The sequence below is a fragment of the Homo sapiens genome, chromosome 1 (genome assembly GCF_000001405.40).
Source record: "Homo sapiens chromosome 1, GRCh38.p14 Primary Assembly".
In the NCBI taxonomy this organism is placed as follows: Eukaryota; Metazoa; Chordata; class Mammalia; order Primates; family Hominidae; genus Homo; species Homo sapiens.
The window spans coordinates 198,237,248-198,260,648 of record NC_000001.11 but is presented as its reverse complement, the minus strand read 5'-3'; the positions used below and the strand labels follow the sequence as shown (position 1 = coordinate 198,260,648).

General features: G+C 35.9%; 1 protein-coding gene across 17 annotated transcripts in view; it reads right to left on the bottom strand.

Moving 5' to 3' along the window:
- The window catches only part of NEK7 (NIMA related kinase 7), a 165,423-nt gene that overhangs the window by 61,772 nt on the left and 80,250 nt on the right, over positions 1-23,401 (bottom strand). For all 17 annotated transcript variants that reach the window (XM_047446560.1, XM_047446563.1, XM_047446572.1 and 14 more), the window contains one exon: positions 7,469-7,609. In XM_047446560.1, the coding sequence (XP_047302516.1) occupies positions 7,469-7,609 (141 nt within the window). The remainder of the gene's footprint in view (positions 1-7,468; positions 7,610-23,401) is intronic.

Sequence of the window (23,401 nt, the reverse complement as noted above, 5' to 3'; positions counted from 1 at the left end):
AGAGACAGACTAGATTACATCAAAGTTTCTCCCACTTAATCAAATAACAGAAGAAGAAATATGTATGCCGGTACATATATTAAAGAGAGTTAACTTCTCTTTTTTCCATTAGCAGTAATTCTAACCATGTCAGCCACAGTAAACTCATGTTAACTACCATGATTTCAGAATGGAACAGAATGCAACACGATGAAACAACAGCAAGGAAAGGAAAAGGGGTTAAAAAAAAAAAAGGAAAGGACTATGAGTGGCAAATCACTATCACAAAGTTCACATAAACTATCTAGTAAGATATGTTTTAGCTAACATTAAGCTGTTGTATACATTAAGCTTTGACAAAATGAGCTAGATATAAATGGACACCAATAGCAGGGGTTAAAAAAATTACCAGTATTAAAGAACAAACCATATGACACTATTTATGGAAGGAAGGAAAAACCTTGCAGAAATTTTCTCCAAGAGCATCATAGTTTTAACTCTACACACAAATTATTAATATGAATAACCTGATCCTGAGTACAGACAAGCTTAAACTGTTAATGCCCACCCTTTCTACATATAAAAATCCATGCTGAATGCCATCTTACTATCAGATTTTATTACAGATACAAATAAGAAAACCATCTTGCAGTCCTTTAAGATGCACAGTGTCAGATGCAGAATGCAGACTGCAACACAGAAAATTAACACGCAACTTGTAAGTGCTACTTGTTCAAAGTGATGTAAGAACCTTAATGGGGGTGAGCATGGCTGGCTGGAAGGGCTCTCAATAACTGATTTATATAAGCAGGAATGCGTAATGCCCTTCAGGAAAATATATATGTGTGTGTGTGTGTGAGTGTGTGTGTAAAATCGAAAGTTCTTGAACTGAAGGAATAAGCTTTACATTTAGCAATTTCACATAGAAATGCCATTCATTCCCCCAAAGGGATTATTATATCAACATGTTAAACAATAAAACAAACACTAATGGAAACAGAAAAATTTGAACTTGATATTAGTTATAGGTATGAAACACACACACACAGACTACTTGCACTTTAAATCAAAATGGCATGAGAAATAACTGATTCTTGACACATCATAAATGCTGATGCCATTCTCAGGAAATGCTATTTACAAGGAATTTGAGATAAATCAAAGATATACTGGAAAGCACAAAATTGTAAGTATATCAGATCTTGATGTAATTCCTGGTATTTTTGTTTGTTTGTTTTAGGAGGCAGAGAAAGAATAATGCCCATATAGTACCAGTAATTAAAATGAAGAAAATCACAAACTTGGAGACATATATGTATTTAATCTCTCAGTAATCAATGTCTCTATGATGTGGAACAACATTTTTAAAAACAAAAGAGGGTGAGTGAGATAAGAATGAATAATAGATGTATAAGAGTTTTAGGAAACCATAACAAGATACAACATATCAAGATAGAAACATGCTACATAGAAAATCTTTAATTCAAGTTATAAAAATTAATTTAGAATTACAAATTGACTTTTATTTTTAACTGAATTTTCAATAATATCAAAAGTCACTCCTCAAACACAGGGAGAAATAAGCATTGATGGCACATCTAAAGCAAAACTAAATTCTGAGCAAAATACATTTACAAATACATTTAACTGGAAATTCAGAAGTATCTTATCTTTCTTTTTCTCTCAGCCAACAAGTCAAGACAAAAATAAATAATAATGAATATTTAGATTACATCATTCCCAAACACAGATTCAAAGCTGTCCGATGATTTCATGAGCAAGAAAAAGCAGTATGTCTTGGGTGAAAATATGGACTTTGTAAGAATATCTTGCATATAATATGTACAAACAAGTCTTTAGGAGGCATCATTTTCATTCAGCTCCACCAAAGTTTCTTCAGGTTTTTAAACTCATTTTATACTTGGTAAGAGCAAGGGATGAGCTGTGGTTAGGCAAGTAATGACTGATAAATTCTTGGTATTCTCTGAATCATTTTAAAGGTTTTCTTTTGTCATCTTAAAATTTTGCCAAAATTACTCATAGCTAATGAAACTGAAAAGGTTAACACTAGATTTCTTTAAAAGGAAATGAAATCCTTCTAGTAACTTAACAGAAATATCCCCTTAAAAAGGCATATGTCAAATTGTTAGAAGAAAGACCATTTAAAATGCAGAAAACAAAGTACTTAAAAATATATACTAAGCAAGTTTTTGTTGTTGTTGTTTTTCTTTTTTGAGAGAGTCTTGCTTTGTCTCCAGGCTGGAGTGCAGTGGCGTGATCTTGGCTCACTGTAACCTCCACCTCCCGGGTTCAAGCGATTCTCCTGCCTCAGCCTCCCAGGTAGCTGGGACTACAGGCGTGTGCCACCACACCCAGCTAATTTTTGTATTTTTAGTAGAGACAGGGTTTCACCATGTTGGCCAGGATGGTCTTGATCTCTTGACTTCGTCATCTGCCCGCCTCAGCCTCCCAAAATGCTGGGATTACAGGCGTTGAGTCACCGTGCCCGGCTCTACAGCTGGAACCTTCCTGTCACTACCCTTCAGATGACTGACTCCTTATCCTCCACCTACGCTTAAATTTCACATCCTCGGAGAGGCCTTTGCTGCACACTCTATCTAAAATGCTCTCCTCCTCTAGTTTGTCTCTAATACCACAGCATGGTCATTTCCTTTTTGGCTATAATTATTTGATTTATTTTTTGCTATAATTATTTGATTTATTGTCTATTTTCCACACAAAAATGTTGGATTTAATTATTGTGTCCCACTATTGTGTCCCTATTGTCAAGTACAGTGTCTGCCATATAGTAGTTTAACCCCAAAATGTTAAACAATCCATAAAACTGGAAATTTTCTGTTTCTTATCTGCTTAGAAATGCTTAAGATTGCAAGTACAAGTAATTAAAATTAAAAAGCTTTAATTTTAAAGATAAAAGCCTATTCCACCTTGACAAGTAAAAACTAACATTAATTTACCAAATTGTTCTGTATCTTTTAAATGTCATTTATGAATTATTCTTACAAATGCTTAGTTTTCATTTATTCAAATAACAATTGGAAATCTGAAAGGAAGTCTATAGAGATTAAATGAAGTTCATAAAAGCTGCAAGATAAATTTATTAATCACAATGAACACTGAAAAAGAGATTGAAGGCAGAGCCACAGAGGTTACGAATATATTAAAATCAGCCTATGTATTATGGAAGTGCTATCATTGTCCACAAATTTCTGATCATATATAATCCTAATTTCTAATTATATGCAAACATGCAGAATCTAAACTTAAGATGATAAAAAGTAACTTATTAATAGAAATTAAAAAGTTATTTGCTTGAAAAATACTTTAAAGCAACTAACAAACATAAGTAAATAAAAGGTAAGCATTCAATATCAAAGAATACTTTGGGGAAGACTTTTTGAGATCACCTGAATCAAAAGGTAAATCTGAACAATATTATCACTTTATGTTTATTTGTATAAATACATAAAGTATTATTTTAGCTTTTCTTCCTAAAAAAAACTCACTGACAATGGCTGCCACACAGTAAAATAGTGTTATCTAGAAATATAGTTAAGAGTAAGCAAAGCGAAATTAAGCATTAATGAACAAAGGATCAAAATACCTCACGTATTATTTAAAAATGAGAGTACAATGGTCAAAGAACTAAGAAACAGTGAGACCCAAAATTCACACTACTGTAACACTATGTCAGACTGATGAAATAAAAACCAACTTCATTCCTATAGCTCTAATCAATGAGCAAAATATAATAAAATAGAGATTGCATATACCAGATCAAAATAAGTTTTTGATAATCTTCCAACATAAAGAACGTAAGTTTTGAGACCCAGCTCACGAACTCTGTGAAGCCTCTTTCCTAAGCTCCTCCTCACACCTGTTCTCTTCAAGGCTGCTCCTATCACATGAGTGCCTATCTCATTATGTTAGAGGTGTCTTTGTTGTACCCCCACTAGAATCCCATGAGTCTCATTATGTTTATCTTAATCTTCCTAAAGCCTTAGACACTGACCAATAAACACTAGGTGGCCAATAAATACTGGAGGAATGAATTCAATGATCAGCAGGAAGGGAAGCACTGAAGAAGGAGGCAAGAGAGAAAGAAAAGCAAAGTTGGTACAGAGAATTTCAAAATTGTTTTATTAGTTAAGGTACCATCTTATTTTTTTGCAAATGAACCATGATGGGATACAGGTAAATTTTCAAAAAGATTGGTTAATGTTGCCATATACTGTAGGCTCTCAGATCCCTTTATGATTTCCAAGAAGTAACATGCATTTAGCGCACACACTCTTCTTTCCCATACAGGTAACAGGCAAACCTGCAGGAAAATGGCCAGAGCTGAACACATCCTTTGTTAATAGCCCTGAATCAGTGAACTAAATGGAGTGGCACAAAGTAGGGAAGGGCCTTAAAAACTAAGCTGAGGATTCTGGATGGTATCTCATTAAAAATTTGTAAGCAGAGAAATGAATGATAAAACCAATATTTTATGAACTCAACCAAAGTATTCAAGGAGTCTAGTGGACCTGGGAACAGTAATACAGTTCTTGAGACAAGTAATATAGCCTTAAAATAACAAGTTGCATGAGGAAATTCAATATTTAATTCTTTAGGGTTTTTTTAAAGAGTTAGGTTAGCATTCTTCAAAAAGGAAAAGCATTGGTCAGCAATATTATAAAATTTTGTATTTTAAGCTGCAGAGATGACTTTTTAAAAATAAAGAACCATGGGTTTTCCTGTTCAGCACAAGTGTAATATGTCACAAGAATCAATATGTCTAAAATGCAAATATATTTCTCCTTACAAAGGTTTAAGGCGTTGCTCCCTAATAAATAAGGTAAGAATATCTTCACAATATCATTTCTGTCTTCTATGAAGAAATTAGGTTTAAACTAGATGTCACAATATCCACACTAAAGCAGAAAGGAATGGGATAATCCAAAAGAATAAACTTTAACTTCCTACAGTAATTTGAGGTTTATCACAGCGTAAAACAGAGGCAGCTAGAGGGTAATGTCCAATTAATACTGAATGGAAATACAATTGTGCAAATTAACTCACACTTATTCAAATTCCCAATCAATAGAAAAATGCAGCAAGAGCTTTTTTCTTCCTCCCTCCACCCCTTCCTCCATTCTTTCTTTCTTCCCTTCTTTCTTTCTGTTTCTAATGAGAAGGTTCTGCAATGTAAAATATAATCACTAGAGACAGAATTGAGCCCTGTTTTCCACACTCAGAATCAGAGAAGGGATCCAAGAGTCCCCAGAGACCTCCAAATGGATCTCAATCCATCCAACCTCCCATCTTGACAATCTGTGGCAGATTGGCAGCTATGTTCTCTCCATTCTATTCTGTATGTTGAGCTTGTAATTTTACTTTGAAAATAATGGATTTTGAAGATTGTTACTCTACTTGAGAGTCCACAATGCATCCTCAATTGCCTACGGTTCAAATTCCTCTGTCTGGCTCCAATGCTCACCACAATCTGGGCTCATATTTATAGCCTGGCTTAAGTTCCAATTCCACCAATTCCAACAGCTCAAATTGACATCTCCATTCTGTGAACTCTTATTTAAATCAGGAACCCATGCCACAGGGTTTAACATTAAACTGTTCTAGATAGACTCTTGTTCCCCTGGAGGGCAGGAATAATACCACTAGTTTCTTTTTTATTTCCCTGGGTGCTCAGAGATCACAGTAGAAATTTAATCCATTTTAAAAATGAATCAGAGTTCTTTTGTAAGGGAATAATCGTTCCAAAAGTAATCTCTTTCATAAACACTAATAACTACATCCCATATTGTGTTTTCTTAAGCTCTGAGTGGCATATTAAAACAGAGAAGACTGCAATTCTTATATGCTGCTGGCGAAAACTTACACCAGTGCAACTTTGGAAAGCAACTTGGCATTAACTTGCAGTACACATGCATCCCCTGTGGGATGCAGTCATTTCCACTCTTAAGCACAAACAAGAGAGAAATTCTTGTATGTGTAAACTAGGAAAGACATGAGAATATCAGAGAAGCATTGTTTGTAATAGCAAATAACTGTAAACAACTTAAACAACAATCAACAAGAACAAGTGAATATTATACAGTAGCAAAAAGGATAAACTACAGCACATGCACCAACACGGACTAATTGCTCAAACACGAAGCTATGTGAAAAAAGCAAGCTGTGTGAGTGTGTGTGCGTGTAATACATATATAAAACATGCTTCATTTATGTAAAGTTTAAAAAAATGCAAAAGTAAACAATAGACTATTTTAGAAATTCATACCAATGTAGGAAAAACAATAAAGAAAAACAAAGGAATGATAAACATTACATTCAGGATATGGTTATCTCTGAGGGAAGGGAGTAGCACACACATGTCGAAAATATTTTTAATGTTTATTTCTTAAGCTGCCTTGTGGATATGCGGGTATCTCTATTATTGTTTACATCTAACACATATACCAGATAAAACCTTTTATAAATCATTAGTTTCATTTTTAAATGTAAATTAAAACTGTTCATCTCTATATTGGCTGTCACAAGTATACTAATCATCTTAAGAAGTTTAAAAAAAAAAAGACATTTAGATTTCACAGGTATCTGCAGAAAAAAGATAAAAGAGTTGCAAAGCAAAATAGTCTGTAGCACAGGTGAAGAATAACTATTACCATAATTGAAAAAGGGAAGTAAAAGTGTATGATTCACTGTGTGATTTACTGTTTGATGTCATACACACTGGAAGGCAGAAAGACAAGTACTTTCTAGGCCAGAGGACCTCATTAGGGCAAGTGAAACACTCAGGGCTCTGGCAAGTGAGCATTCCAGGGTAGCTCAGTTGGACTGCAACTCCAGGGTTAGGGCAGGACTTGGAAAGAGGAGCTGGAGCAAGATAAATGAATTCGAGAAGACAGGAAAGGGTCTGGATTAGAGAGCAAATCTGATTCCAGAATGACACAAATACAATAAGAGATTTTAAAGTTAGGTATCAATGTTCTAATTTTATCTGCCTCGTTTTTATTTCCAAGTAAATAAAGTTCACTTCATTTTCCTTTCATTTTTTTGCTGGTATAGTTTAACTGCCATTTACTAACTTCGGGCAGTACATTTTGTGACTCTAGTTTCTGACTACAGTGCCTATAGCTGTAGAACTTCAGTGAGTATTCAACATCTAGTTAAATGTCCAGGTAGAAGTAATGGTGATGACTCAAATCTGCCTCTTAAAATCTAGAGTTGTGAAAGCTTTTTGAGGTTCAATACGAGCTAAATTTTTAAAGCCTAGAAATAGTGTTAAAACTAATATTTCCACTCCATACTACACTTGTTTCTGGCTTTTAAAATACAACGTTCAATCTTTCCCAGCATTCTCAACTTAAGGCTATCAGTACCCAATCATTCAGGATATACTTTTCTCATCTATAATTCACATAGTATAATTTTACATTGATTTATATAATTAAAGTCATCTTACCTGCACTTTTTTTAAAGCTACTGGTACTCCATCCAAGAGACAGGCTGCTCTATAAACTTCACTAAATTGTCCGCGACCAATTTTCTTTTCTATTCGAAAGTTGGCTAATGTATTATAGCCCATATCCGGTCGTAAGGCCTTCTGTAATTAAAAATGTCAGAAAAATTTTCAATCACACAATATACACGCAATACACACAATCACTGATCATTTTCATATATGTAGGTGACACATAGGGTAAGTTTGCAGACATCCATTCACTCAACAACAAATATTTACTGAACTTATGCCAGGCACTGTCCTACACACTGACGATACAGTAGCAGACTAGAGAGACAATAATCCCTGTACCTGAGGAACTTACATTCTAGTGAGGGGAATAAACAAGGAATACATTAAAACATACATATATATATATGTGTGTTTTAATAAATATATAAAACATACATACATGTTTTAATAAATATGTAAACATACATACATGTTTTAATACATAAACATACATATGTTTTAATATATAAACATACATATATGTTTTAATATATAAAACATACATATACATGTTTTAATAAATATATAAACATACATATATATGTGTATATATGTACTTTTTATATATATATATATATATATATATATATATATATATATAGTATGTGAGATAGGAAAGCCTAAAAAGGAAGTTAATTAAGGAAGAAGGATACAACATAGGGATGAAGAGTCTGAACTTTTAGATAAGAACTCCTTGCAAAGGATACCCAGGAATTGAACTCAGCTCTGCACCAAGCAGACCTAATAGACATCTACAGAACTCTCCAACCTAAATCAACAGAATATACATTTTTTTCAGCACCACACCACACCTATTCCAAAATTGACCACATAGGTGGAAGTAAAGCTCTCCTCAACAAATGTAAAAGATCAGAAATTATAACAAACTGTCTCTCAGACCACAGGGCAATCAAACTAGAACTCAGGATTAAGAAACTCACTCAAAACCGCTCAACTGTGTGGAAACTGAACAACCTGCTCCTGAATGACTACTGGGTACATAACGAAATGAAGGCAGAAATAAAGATGTTCTTTGAAACCAACGAGAACAAAGACACAACGTACCAGAATCTCTGGGACACATTCAAAGCAGTGTGTAGAGGGCAATTTATAGCACTAAATGCCCACAAGAGAAACCAGGAAAGATCCAAAACTGACACCTTAACATCACAATTAAAAGAACTAGAAAAGCAAAAGCAAACACATTCCAAAGCTAGCACAAGGCAAGAAATAACTAAAATCAGAGCAGAACTGAAGGAAATAGAGACACAAAAACCCTTCAAAAAATTAATGAATCCAGGAGCTGGTTTTTTGAAAGGATCAACAAAATTGATAGACTGCTAGCAAGACTAATAAAGAAGAAAAGAGAGAAGAATCAAATAGACGCAATAAAAAATGATAAAGGGGATATCACCACCGATCCCACAGAAATACAAACTACCATCAGAGAATACTACAAACACCTCTACGCAAATAAACTAGAAAATCTAGAAGAAATGGATAAATTCCTTGACACATACACCCTCCCAAGACTAAACCAGGAAGAAGTTGAATCTCTGAATAAACCAATAACAGCTCTGAAATTGTGGCAATAATCAATAGCTTACCAACCAAAAAGAGTCCAGGACCAGATGGATTTACAGCCGAATTCTACCAGAGGTATAAGGAGGAACTGGTACCATTCCTTCTGAAACTATTCCAATCAACAGAAAAAGAGAGAATCCTCCCTAACTCATTTTATGAGGCCAGCATCATCCTGATACCAAAGCCGGGCAGAGACACAACCAAAAAAGAGAATTTTAGACCAATATCCTTGATGAACATTGATGCAAAAATCCTCAATAAAATACTGACAAACCGAATCCAGCAGCACATCAAAAAGCTTATCCACCATGATCAAGTGGGCTTCATCACTGGGATGCAAGGCTGGTTCAGTATACGCAAATCAATGTAATCCAGCATATAAACAGAACCAAAGACAAAAACCACATGATTATCTCAATAGATGCAGAAAAGGCCTTTGACAAAATTCAACAACGCTTCATGCTAAAAACTCTCAATAAATTGGTATTGATGGGACATATCTCAAAATAATAAGAGCTATCTATGACAAACCCACAGCCAATATCATACTGAATGGGCAAAAACTGGAAGCATTCCCTTTGAAAACGGGCACAAGACAGGGATGCCCACTCTCACCACTCATATTCAACATAGTGTTGGAAGCACTGGCCAGGGCAATTAGGCAGGAGAAGGAAATAAAGGGTATTCAATTAGGAAAAGAGGAAGTCAAATTGTCCCTGTTTGCAGATGACATGATTGTATATCTAGAAAACCCCATTGTCTCAGCCCAAAATCTCCTTAAGCTGATAAGCAACTTCAGCAAAGTCTCAGGATACAAAATCAATGTACAAAAATCACAAGCATTCTTATACACCAATAACAGACAAACAGAGAGCCAAATCATGAGTGAACTCCCATTCACAATTGCTTCAAAGAGAATAAAATACCTAGGAATCCAACTTACAAGGGATGTGAAGGACCTCTTCAAGGAGAACTACAAACCACTGCTCAAGGAAATAAAAGAGGATACAAACAAATGGAAGAACATTCCATGCTCATGGGTAGGAAGAATCAATATCGTGAAAATGGCCATACTGCCCAAGGTAATTTATAGATTCAATGCCGTTCCCATCAAGCTACCAATGACTTTCTTCACAGAATTGGAAAAAACTGCTTTAAAGTTCATATGGAACCAAAAAAGAGCCCGCATCGCCAAGTCAATTCTAAGCCAAAAGAACAAAGCTGGAGGCATCACACTACCTGACTTCAAACTATACTACAAGGCTACAGTAACCAAAACAGCATGGTACTGGTACCAAAACAGAGATATAGACCAATGGAACAGAACAGAGCCCTCAGAAATAATGCCACATATCTACAACTATCTGATCTTTGACAAACCTGAGAAAAACAAGCAATGGGGAAAGCATTCCCTATTTAATAAACGGTGCTGGGAAAACTGGCTAGCCATATGTAGAAAGCTGAAACTGGATCCCTTCCTTACACCTTATACAAAAATCAATTCAAGATGGATTAAAGACTTAAACGTTAGACCTAAAACCATAAAAAGCCTAGAAGAAAACCTAGGCGTTACCATTCAGGACATAGGCATGGGCAAGGACTTCATGTCTAAAACACCAAAAGCAATGGCAACAAAAGCCAAAATTGACAAATGGGATCTAATTAAACTAAAGAGCACAGCAAAAGAAACTACCATCAGTGAACAGGCAACCTACAAAATGGGAGAAAATTTTCGCAACCCACTCATCTGACAAAGGGCTAATATCCAGAATCTACAATGAACTCAAACAAATTTACAAGAAAAAAACAAACAACCCCATCAAAAAGTGGGTGAAGGACATGAACAGACACTTCTCAAAAGAAGACATTTATGCAGCCAAAAAACACATGAAAAAATGCTCACCATCACTGGCCATCAGAGAAATGCAAATCAAAACCACTATGAGATACCATCTCACACCAGTTAGAATGGCAACCATAAAAAAGGAAACAACAGATGCTGGAGAGGATGTGGAGAAATAGGAACACTTTTACACTGTTGGTGGGACTATAAACTAGTTCAACCATTGTGGAAGTCAGTGTGGCGATTCCTCAGGGATCTAGAACTAGAAATACCATTTGACCCAGCCATCCCATTACTGGGTATATACCCAAAGGACTATAAATCATGCTGCTATAAAGACACATGCACACATATGTTTATTGCAGCACTATTCCCAACAGCAAAGACTTGGAACCAACCCAAATGTCCAACAATGATAGACTGGATTAAGAAAATGTGGCACATATACGCCATGGAATACTATGTAGCCATAAAAAATGATGAGTTCATGTCCTTTGTAGGGACATGGATGAAACTGGAAATCATCATTCTCAGTAAACTATCGCAAGAACAAAAAACCAAACACCGCATATTCTCACTCACAGGTAGGAATTGAACAATGAGAACACATGGACACAGGAAGGGGAACATCACACTCTGGGGACTGTTGTGGGGTGGGGGGAGGGGGGAGGGATAGCTTTAGGAGATATACCTAATGCTAAATGACGTGTTAATGGGTGCAGCACACCAGCATGGCACATGTATACATATGTAACTAACCTGCACATTGTGCACATGTACCCTAAAACTTAAAGTATAATAGTATAATAATAATAAAATAAAATAAAATAAAAGCAATTGCAGAACCCACACACACAAAAAAAGAACTCCTTATAACTTGTCTTTAGTTCACAGAATATAAACTTGTCCCACCCAATCTAGTATTTCTCTGCTATTTCTTTTCTTTTGAAAAGATCTTTGAGTTGAAATGGACCTTACAAAAATACATAATCATTTAGTCCAAACTGTCAACTAATGCATGAAACACCTGTTAACTTCCTGACAGTTATTTAACTTCTGCAAAGAATATGTCCAGTGTCAAGAAGTTTACTACCGCATCATTAAATAACATTTTTTGATATTTACCATGTGCCAGGCACTATGCTGGCTGCTAGGGAAATAGAGATGAATGAGATATGCTTTCTGCTCTCAAACGGCTTACCCAAATACATAGAAGAGGCTCTTCACTGTGCTATGAGAGAAATAATTATAAGATATTGGGGGCAGGGGCCATCCCTATTTTGAGACTAAATTCAGGTTATAAATTTTACTGATTGTCCTAGTTCTTTTATTCACTTTTTGTTCATGGACTTATTCATTCAATCTTCAGTTATGGGGTAAACACTACCTGAACATCTACTACAGTCAGACACTGTCTATTGCTAAAGTTGGAATATCACCTTTTACATTCCTGATGGCATTCATTTTAGCATCTCTAGCTGTTTAAAATATAACAAAAAAAGCCTATTTAAAACTATCACATGCCCTCATATCTTCTCTTTTTCGGCTAGGCATGCCTGAGCCTTTTCAAGATTCCTGGAGTACTGATGAGCACACTCTTCCGTGCCTTTTACCATTCTCCTCACACCCCCTCTGTACTCTCCAAGCCAAACATGACATTCTTGTGGGGCCAGGCTAGTGCACCCTCTAATGAAACTGAATATTAAAGACCTATTAATGCAAAGATGGCACTGGTTCATGAGCACATTACATTCAGCTTAAACTCTTAGTCTTTCAAAGAAACCTTTGATAAGGCTGATGATCCCATATCCTAGACTTACGCAGAAAGGCTATTTTGATATACGGGCAACACTTTGCATTAACCCTTAGTACATTTTATCTTTTAATTTTACTACATCTATCATGTAAAATTCACTACATCTAACTGTAAAATTCTGCCAAAGAGTCACTATAATTCAAACCCAATGTTTTCTCTTAAAAAAAAAAGAAGCAATAATTTGTTATTGTACATTGTTTTCTTCTTCTAGAAGTCCAAAATACTGTCAAGAAAAAGATCATGCTTCCTTTAAAATATGCAAAATAACCAGAGTACAAGAAATTTTTCAAATTTCGCAAATTCATTTCATAAGTATAGGTCCATAAGATAATTCTTATAATTACTACAACAATGATAGAAGGTCCCATTTTCGTCCCCACAACTTAACAGGCACTGTATATCAGGACTTTAAATGCCATCAAATTCAATTCTCTCACCAATCCCATCATGTAGATGTCATCAAACCAAGTGAATGTCTAGTTGATTCCCAAGTATAGCCTATGCCACACTGCCAGGTTATTAAGCAAAGTCACCTTATGTATGACCCAACATTATGGGACCCTACATGATGATCCACAGATATTTTCAATGTTAAGTCTTTTGACTAAAAAAATAAAATAAAGACAAAAATGGAATAGAAACATGTTTAAAATGAAGATGAAAAAGTATTCCACAATAAGAAACATAGAATGAAAATAAAATTATGAAATAAAGGGAGATAACTTGCCATGATGTTCATTTGTAAATGGATTTCTTTTCATAGCCATTGAATTTACAATTAAGTGTCAATGTGACAAAATGATATATATGTAACAAAGAAACTCACAAAGTACCACTTCTCAGATATAGCCAATGGATATTTGGCAATTTTTTACGTTTTTAACTTTAAATAAAGGTTTTGTTTAAAAAGGAAACATGTTTTAAATTGTCTATGATTTCCTAAGAATTGTTTATATTGATGCACTGGAATAGTCTGTGTCATCTAATAAGTATAAATCCTTCTCCCATACACGGAGACCATTCTTTCACTTAATGAAGATTTGTCAATCTCAACAGCAAAATACAGCTTCATCATTAGGAACACTATCAAACAATTCAGATACTTTAAATTTGACTGGGAATTCCATCTTCTGTCTGCACAATAACTTGACAAATATTAGCGTGAACTGCTAAGGCAGTGTGACAACCGCATGCTGAGAGCAAAGTCTTACTAATGTGTTTTGGCATGCAGGTTTGTAATCACACATTTACATATGCAATGACCTACATTTGCATGTCAGATCACACACTGTCTTGGTTTATTAAGACTGGGCACCTCCCTGTGCTTGGCCGCCAGAGTGGCGAAAGAGGGCCAGAGGGCGGTGTTTTTTGGCAGTTGAGGGATGAACTGCCACCAAGGATTAGGTTGATATGGCCTGAGCATTAGACACTTCATTAGACGTAATCTGTTTAACAGTGGGCAGTGTATGTAAACTTCACAGCCCATTTGCGGCACCTTTTTCCCCCCATGGCCTTTCTTCAAAGGGCAGTGTGGGTGAGTGACAGCTTGTCTCATCTGCTCCCATGTCCTGTCACCCAGTGTAGATGTGGAGAGCTGACATGAGAAGGAGCATAGCTGCACATCTCCAACTACCCTTGGGTCTCTTTGCCACACTGCAATTTGTATAAAAATAAGCTTGTATAAGAGGAGGTCTCCTTTAGGAGATCATCAGGCAGGTAATATATCTATATACTTCGGTAGCGATTATAGTATATTGTTTTCAATGCCATACTTCATTTTGCTGAGTTACATTCCACTGTAGGTAGCATTACATTAGGTGCTTTAAATAAAAAATGGTATCATCAAACGGGTTCCCACTCAAGTAAAGAACTATTTTTAGGAAATAGCTATATTCTCTTTGTTGAATGATGTTCTATGTCCCATATGTTTTAAGTTACTGGGAATAAAATAACTCAGCAAAATACTGAGATTCAAATCAATATGAAATATAAACCAAATAAAATCACTTAAACTGATGTTTCGCTGTTCTTAATTTGGAGTGTAAACTGAGTCTCAGTTTCTTGAAGTTCCTTAATGACCCAGGTTTTTTTTTTCTAAGCTGCACAAAATGGCTTTTAGATTTGAGGTGAGTCACTTAGAGGACCTTCAACTTTTATGGAAGTAAAAACCCACTTTGTTTCTTCCACTATCAAATGAGGATAATGATGCCTTATCTATGACAGAAGGCTTTTCAAGTCAATTTTGCACCTCGCTATGGCCCCCTCCATCAGCTGCACCATGTATTTCCCAAGTGCACTGTGAACTTTGGCCTCATGCCCATGGCATTGCACTTGCTTATTCCCATGCCTTCTGAATAACTTCCTTTTTCATACCCAGCAAACCACAGCTCATCTTTGGGATTCAGTTCCATGTCAGCTCTTCTAAGGAATCATCTTCAGCTCGCTCAGGCAGCTTTACTGGCTTCTACCTCTATTTCTGTAGCAATTGACAGTAGTCATTCAACTCTATAAAGAGGCATACAAACGCAGGCACCATGTTGGGTCCTGGATCACACAGGCTTTTAATTACTCGTTTATACAATTGACTCTTGAACAACACAAGTTTGAACTGTGCAGATCCACTTATATGTAGATTTTCTTCTACTTCTCCCTTCCATGAGACAGCAAGAAACTCCTTCTCTTTCTCCTTCTCCTCTGCCTACCCAATGCAAAGACAATGAGGATAAAGATGAAGATCTACTTTCCACTTAATGAATATTAAATATCATTTTTCTTCCTTATGATTTTCTTATTAACATTTCCTTTTCTGTAGTTTATTTTATTGTAAGAACACATTATATAATACACAAAACATACAAAGCATGTGTTAATTGACTTTCTGTTATCAGTAAGGCTTCTAGTCAACAGTAGGCTATTTATAGTTAAGCTTTTAGGGAGTCAAAAGTTATATACAGGTTTTCAGCTGCACAAACTACTCTCTTGTTGTTCCAGGGTCAATTATGTATATACATTTCTCCTTCCAGACACACTGAGTTTCTCAAAGGTAGAGACCAAAGTGGGGGTTTTTTTTTTCAGCTTTTTATCAAAATGCCATGAAGTAGAGAATAAATACTAACTCAGTGAATGTATTCGAAAGAACTAAATGAATGTAAAAGGCCCAAAATACAAAGGGCATGACTATAATTATCTACCAGCTCTAAGTAGAATCTAGTAGAGAATCAGTATACTGTTCTGGGTTCTTATTAACAAACATTTTTTTGATGTGAATACACTCTAATCACATTAACACGAGATCTTACTAACTAATTGGGATTAACTTCTACGTATCAGTCTGTGTTTACTGAGCTTCCTTCACATAGATACTTTTCATTTGAAAATAAAATTCCTTCTGTTTGCCACGGGTTCATATTTTCACAGGTGCAGACTCCTTAAACAATAACTTCCCAGGACTAAATTAATTTCTTAATTTGCTTTAAATTTGAAGGCAAGGACACTTACTGAGCAATAAGATAATTCAGGATAACATTATGATGATAATCCTCTCTGGGGAAATTAGAAGAGTCACAGCATGAACTCAATAGTCTCCCCAGAGAGAAAATTATGTACTGATAATTCCTTGAGGTATTGTTATCAATGATTTAATATACAAGCCAGTATTAATTACAGTAATTAACACCATTAATAAGGTTTTCATTGTTATTGAAAATTCATCTCTTACTGATTTTCCTGTGCCACTTAATTATTTTAAATAAACTACCTTACATTTTATATTAATATTGTTGGATTTCTCCAAAATTTAAAACAAAACTTTAAAATATCTTTCAAATTTTATTTAGCAATAAAGCTCATGCTATTATCTTTTATCTTTAAAAAGGTGTTACCCACCTACAAATTACACAAACCAGAATATCCTTTCTATCATGTATTCTATAGACCTCCTGTCATATTTTCTACAGACTTCACTGGAAACCAAAAAAGGCAAATAAACAAAAAAACACCATATGTGCCACCAAGACCTAATTATTCGTGTTTCTTCCTATTTGAAAAATTATCTCCCTAAATTTTTTAACTATGTCAAATGTCAAATGTAACCTATTCCTAAAGTTTCGTTAAGTGTCAGAGACTTACATCAGTTTAGACAATATGCCATTAATCATTAAAACCGGCCTTTTATCAAAGGAGGAAATTTTACTATTGTGTAAGAAAAATGAGTGACCAAATATAAGCAGTTATCTAATTAAACATTTATAAGACCCTGGCATATGTAGCATTTAATTATCATTAGTTAAATTACCAGCATAATAATTACTACATCCAAATGATGTAACCAAAAATACTGATTATCTCTCCTATGTTATCATGAGCAAGATAATTAATTAACGTCAAAGATACTCCCATCTCCCCTACTTCCCTATGAGCACTACCAGCTACACCTGGCAAAGTTAAATATGGAGAGAAAAAGCCTTTTACTGAAAGACAGAGACAGAGTAAAAAGCAGTTGTTAAAAATTTATTCATTTATTCCACAAATATTACTGGGGGAGGATATAGCACAAAGACACTAAACAGGCAATAAACAAATACATAATAATATCTAATATTTATTCTGCATACTGAAGCACTATGCAGAAAAACAAAGTAAGTGATGTGATATAGAATGTGACAGAAAACCAGTGGATAGTTATTTTAGGTTGGTTAATTTAGGGATGATCTTGCTGAGGATGTAACATTTACACAGAGACTAAAAAATGAAAAGAAAGGAAAGAAGCCATAGCAGAGAAAAACATCTGGAGAAAATGTCTTAAGGAAGAAATGAACTCGATGTGTTCAAGGACCAGCGGAAAGGACACTGTGGCTGGAGTACGGTGAGCAAGGGAGACCATGGTTAGAAATGAGGTTAAAGAGGTAAGCACTGAGCACTCTGGCGAGGTGGCTCATGCCTACACTCCCAGCACTTTGGGAGGCCAAGGCAGGCGGATCACTTGAGCTCGGAAGTTCAAGACCACCCTGGAAAACATGGCACATGGCAAAAACCCATCTCTACTTAAAAAAAAAAAAATTAAATACAAAAAAAAAAATTAAAAATATAAAAACTAAAAATAAAATACAAAAAGTGAGCTGAGATTGGCCAGGCACGGTGGCTCACGCCTGTAATCCCAGCACTTTGTGGGGCCGAGGCGGGTGGATCACGAGGTCAGGAGATCGAGACCATCCTGGCTAACACAGTGAAACCCCGTCCGTACTAAAAATACAAAAAAACTAGCAGGGTGTAGTAGCGCACGCCTGTGGTCACAGCTACTCGGGAGGCTGAGGCAGGAGAATGGCCTGAACCCGGGAGGTGGAGCTTGCAGTGAGCCACTGCACTCCAGCCTGGGCAACAGAGCGAAACTCTGTCTCAAAAAAAAAAAAAAAAAGTGAGCTGAGATCACGCCACGGCATTTCAGCCTGGGTGTCAGAGTGAGACCTTATCTCAAAAAAAAAAAAAAGAAAAAGAAAGAAAAAGAGGTAAGCACTGAGAAAATCATATTACACTTTGACAGCAAGAGTAAGGAGTAAGGGGGTCTGGGTTTTCAGCAAGGTAGCACCATACTGTGTTCTGATACACATTTTACAAAAATAACTCATGATGCTGCATGGAGAACTGGGAAGGAGGATGAGTAGAGCAAGAATGGAAGCAGGGAGACTGGACAGGAGGTAGTAGGTGTGGCCTGAGGAGTTAGAGAGATGAGGACAGTAGATGTAATAAGAATATAATTTGAGATGGAGTCAAAAACTTGCCAATTAATTGAATATGAGGAGTGAGGGAGAGAGAGAAATCAAGGATGATTGAGATTTTTGGCTGAAGCACACAGATGAATAGTGCTGCCATTTACTGGTAAAAACAAGGCTAAAGGAGAAGCCATCTAGGCAGAAAATAGGTAATAAAGATGTAATAAAAGATACGATATGGAAGAAAACAATGGGTAGAGAAATGTGGGCCAAGACAATTATTGGCAGCTTGTTGTCATTGCAGTCATCATCATCATTTTTGCTAACATTTAATGAATGCTAACTATGTGTCAAGCATCATACTGAAAGCTCCATATCAACTTGATGAGGTAAAAACTTGATTCATCTCATTTACTAATAAGAAAACTGAGGTTTACAGATGCTAAACAACTTCCCCTCACCATCACACAGCTAGGAAGTGAGGGACTAAGAACTGATCCCAGCCAATATGACTTCAGAGCTCATGCTCTAACCCACCATGCTAAGCTATGTCCTTCTGTTTCCTTCCAGGTCCGCTATATATTCCTCTCCATAAATGCTGGTACACCACAGGGTATCATCCTCAGCATTCTTTTCTAATTTTTGCTCACTCACTCCAGGTAATCTGATTTATCATTCCATTTATTGGTTCTAAAATTAAATTAATTCCAGGTACTCCCCTGACCCCCTAAGGGACACCTATCATAACTGTACTAGAAACTCCTCCTCCTCTATTTACTTGTGCCCCAACACTGAATGAAATTTACTAAAGGAAAAGAAGACATGATTAAATGTATTCTATATGAATGTGACAAGAAAAACATCAAATTTTGAAATTTGTGTTTGTTTTATGAATATTTAGTGAGAAAGCTATGTGAAACATAAGAATCATATGACAAGATCGTAATATTCACATAGTAACAATATAAAGGAAGACAAAATATACAGGTATCCTAAATGTAAATACCACTGACCTCTAACAAACAGATTAGAATGTATACATTCAACATTGCTCTTCAAAACAGCTACCATGGGAGGCTATGGTTTTACACCAGGAAGGCTTCCACTACTGAAAACATGTCTGAAACTTCTTCTTTAGAATGGTAATCAGAGATAGCATGTGAATTGTATAAAAATTATTGGTCTTGGCCGGGAGTGGTGGCTCACGCCTGTAATCCCAGTGCTTTGGGAGGCCAAGGCGGGTGGATCACAAGGTTAGGAGTTCAAGACCAGCCTGGTCAAGATGCTGAAACCCCATCTGTACTAAAAATACAAAAATTAGCCAGGTGTGCGGCACACACCTGTAATCCCAGCTACTCAGGAGGCTGAGGCAGGAGAATCGCTTAAACCCAGGTGGCAAAGGTTGCAGTGAGCCGAGATCGTGCCACTGCACTTGCACTCCAGCCTAGGTGACAGAGCAGGACTCCGTCTCAAGAACAACAACAAAAAAATTATTGGTTTAAGAATATATCTCATTTTGGTCAAAAAAAAGAATACCAAGACTATGTACTTTATTCAAAACCAAGTAAACACTTGGGTCTAAAGAATTTTAAGATATTTCCAAATATCAAATTCACCTTCAAAAAAACAATGATCTCATCATTGTGGTTATTAAAGCATATTTCTTTTTTTTTTTTTTTGAGACGGAGTCTCACTCTGTCTTAAACTGTTTCAAATAAAGTTGGAAGACGGAAGACTATTTTGATTAATCAGCCTCATCCTCATCTTTGCCCCATCGCTCTGAACAGACTGTTCAAATAGAAATTTCCAAGAAAGCAGCAGGCAAGAGAATTCTTACTGTGTTCTCATTCTTTTCAAAAATCATGTAAATTTCTCAAGCATTTCCCTTAAAATATGAGGTACTCTCACTCGTAAGTATGTAAGTGTGATGAATCTAAATTTAAAGACAACTCAAACGCACTTTAAATATTTTGAAGTCATTCCCCAATTTGACAGTTTTCTTAGTATTCAATATTGTCACACAGTCATTTTCTAAAATAACTCTAGAATAACTGAAATCTACATACTATAAGAATAATACAGTCATGCGCCATCTAATGACATTTCAGCCAACACCAGGCAGTATAGGAATGTCTGGCCATAAGATTACAAAACCATATTTTTACTGTACTTTTTCTAGGTTTAGATATGATTAGGTACATAAATACTTATCATTGTGTTACAACTGCCTACAGTATAGTAACACACTGTGCAGCTTTGTAGACTAGGAGCAACAGACTGTACAATATAGCCTAGGTGTGTAGTAGGCTATCCTGTCGGGGTTTGTGGAAGTGCACTCTATGGTGTTTGCAAAACAAAGAACTTGCCTGACAATGCAGTTCTCAGAATGAATCCCTGATGTTAGGTGACTCGGGACTGTACAGTTAACTAATCAATATTTAGTGGAAAAAGTAGAAATTAACTTTCAGTTAGAGATTATCCATTCAAAAAACATTTGCTGATTACCCTTTATCTAGTATTCACTGATATAAAATATGATATACAAAAGTAAACAATACTCACAAAGCATATTATTAGAAGCATGCTAATATAGTCACCCATATAATGTTTCTCAAAGTAATCTCATTATTGTCTTCCAAAGTATATATTTCTGTTACTAAAATATTTTTCTTAGGATCTCTGTCATAAAACCACTTTTATAGGCAATATATATTGTAATGATTCTGTATGTTCATTATGTCTCATTATTGACTGAATCTCCTTGAATATCACCTAAATCCATCACATTACCACCTTGGAGATGAAAAAAGCATGGTTATAATCAACAAATGGCTGAATCTGAGTCCAAAATTCGAAATGGCACAAAATGCAGCTAGAGGAATCAAAGGAGACCAGATGATAAAGATCTCTGAAGTTATATAAAGCAATGTAAAATTCATCTTAAAAGTAATAAGAATTCAGAAGAAATAAGGCGAGGAATATAATAAAATGTATACTTTAGAAAGACAACTCTTGCTGCAATGTAGAGAATGAACTAGAAATGGTAAAATGAGAGGAAAGAAGACCAGTTACAAACCTGCTGCAATAATCCAGGCATCAAATGACAATATTCTAAACTAGAGGAGTTATAGCCAGGACATAGGGAATTCGCAGATTCAACAGCTACTTAAGCGGCAAAATCAAGAGAACACTGAAAATGCCTAAACATGAGTATAAGACTCCCTTGTTTCTAGGTTGGGCAACTCTAGATAAGTACTAATCACAAGCAAAAGTGTAACCTTGAACAGAATACGATAAATTTCATCTTGAAAACTGTAAGTATGAGGTACCTATAAGAATATCAAGAGTCAGTAATTGAGGAGATAAGACTGTTCAAGGAATGTTTGAGATTTCTCTGTGAAAGCTAAAAACTAATTGGCTTGGAGTCAAACAGACCTGGGTCAAATCCCAGCTTCACTACTTACTAGCTATGTGACGATGGACAAGTTAGTTAATTAGTCGGAGCCTCAGTCTCCTCATTTGTAATGTGTAAAAAAGAATGCCTTATATGGTTTATGTTAGGATTAAATGAGGCAATGTTATCTGAAATGGTAAGCATGGGGTAATGGGGTAGGTACATTTTAAGAGCACAATAATCAGTAAACACTGATGGTAGCAGCAGTACTACTGTCCAGAATGAAGGTGGCAAGAGAGTGGGTCAGGGGTTAAATTTTCAATTCATGTGAGAGGTAATGAGGAGGTCAGAAGATGACTGCAATAAGGAAGGTATAAGTCCTTTAGTTGAATGGAATAAGCCTCAAAGCTGTGGTTCCTCACCCCACCCCGCCCCTTGCCCCTCTGAAAAAGGAGAAGTAGTGTTCTAGAAGAGGCATTGTGGATGGAGAAGTTTGTGGTTCCGACCTCCTGATCCTATGTATGTGGGCAAGGGAGAATAAGTAGCCTCCACTTGAGAGGGTTACAGGGGAAGCAGTGTCCTGGGGGGGAGAAGTGTGTTCCAACTGAAGCAAGGAGGTGGGGAAAAATTAAAACTTCAATAAGAAAGGGAGAATGTAGGTGGTTACATGCATAATGAAAGACAAATTCTGAAGATATTTATGTATTTTCATGTTCATTTTAAAAGCAGGGCTCATAAAGAAAGTGGACAGGTTGATTTGAAACCAAGTTTGTATTCACTCAACAAATATTTATTGAATGCCTACTATGTGTACCACTCTGGGACTAGGGAGAGAGCTTATACCCTAAGAGAAGAAAAACAATGAACAAAATAAGTGATAAGGTGATACATTCTATGGAGAAAAATATTGCAGGGTTGACATACTGTGTGAGTGGGAAGATTCCATTTTCATTGAGTGATCGAGAAGGTGATATTAAAATATATACTTGAAGAATATGAATGAGCAAGCCAATGGGAAACTACTGAAAGGCTTTAAACAGACGTGACTGACTGAAATATTGCTGTATTGGGAATAGATTAAAGGGGAAAGGAGCGAGGATGAAAGCAAAGAGATCAATTAGGAAGATACTGCAATAAAATAGGTGAAAGATTAAGTAACTTCAGAGTAGCAGCAGTGGAGAAGAAAAGAAGTGCTCAAATTCTAAATATATTTTAAAGATTCGGCCTCTGGTATCTGCTAACATTAAGTATGAGACCAGAGAAATAGGAGGAAGTTAGGAATGGCTCTAAGAGTTTTAACCTCAGCAACTGGAAGGATAGACTTGCCACTGAGAAGGAGAAGATGGTGGGCTGTCAGTCTGGAGGGAAATATTTAGAATTCAGTTTGGGCAGCATTAGGGTTGAAACATGAAAATTTGATGCCAAGTAGGCAAATGGATACATGAGTTTGGAATTCGGGGCAGAGGTCCAGGTTGAGATACAAAGAGTCACCAGCATAGAATCATGAGACTGGAAGAGAACACTAAGTAAGGGATAT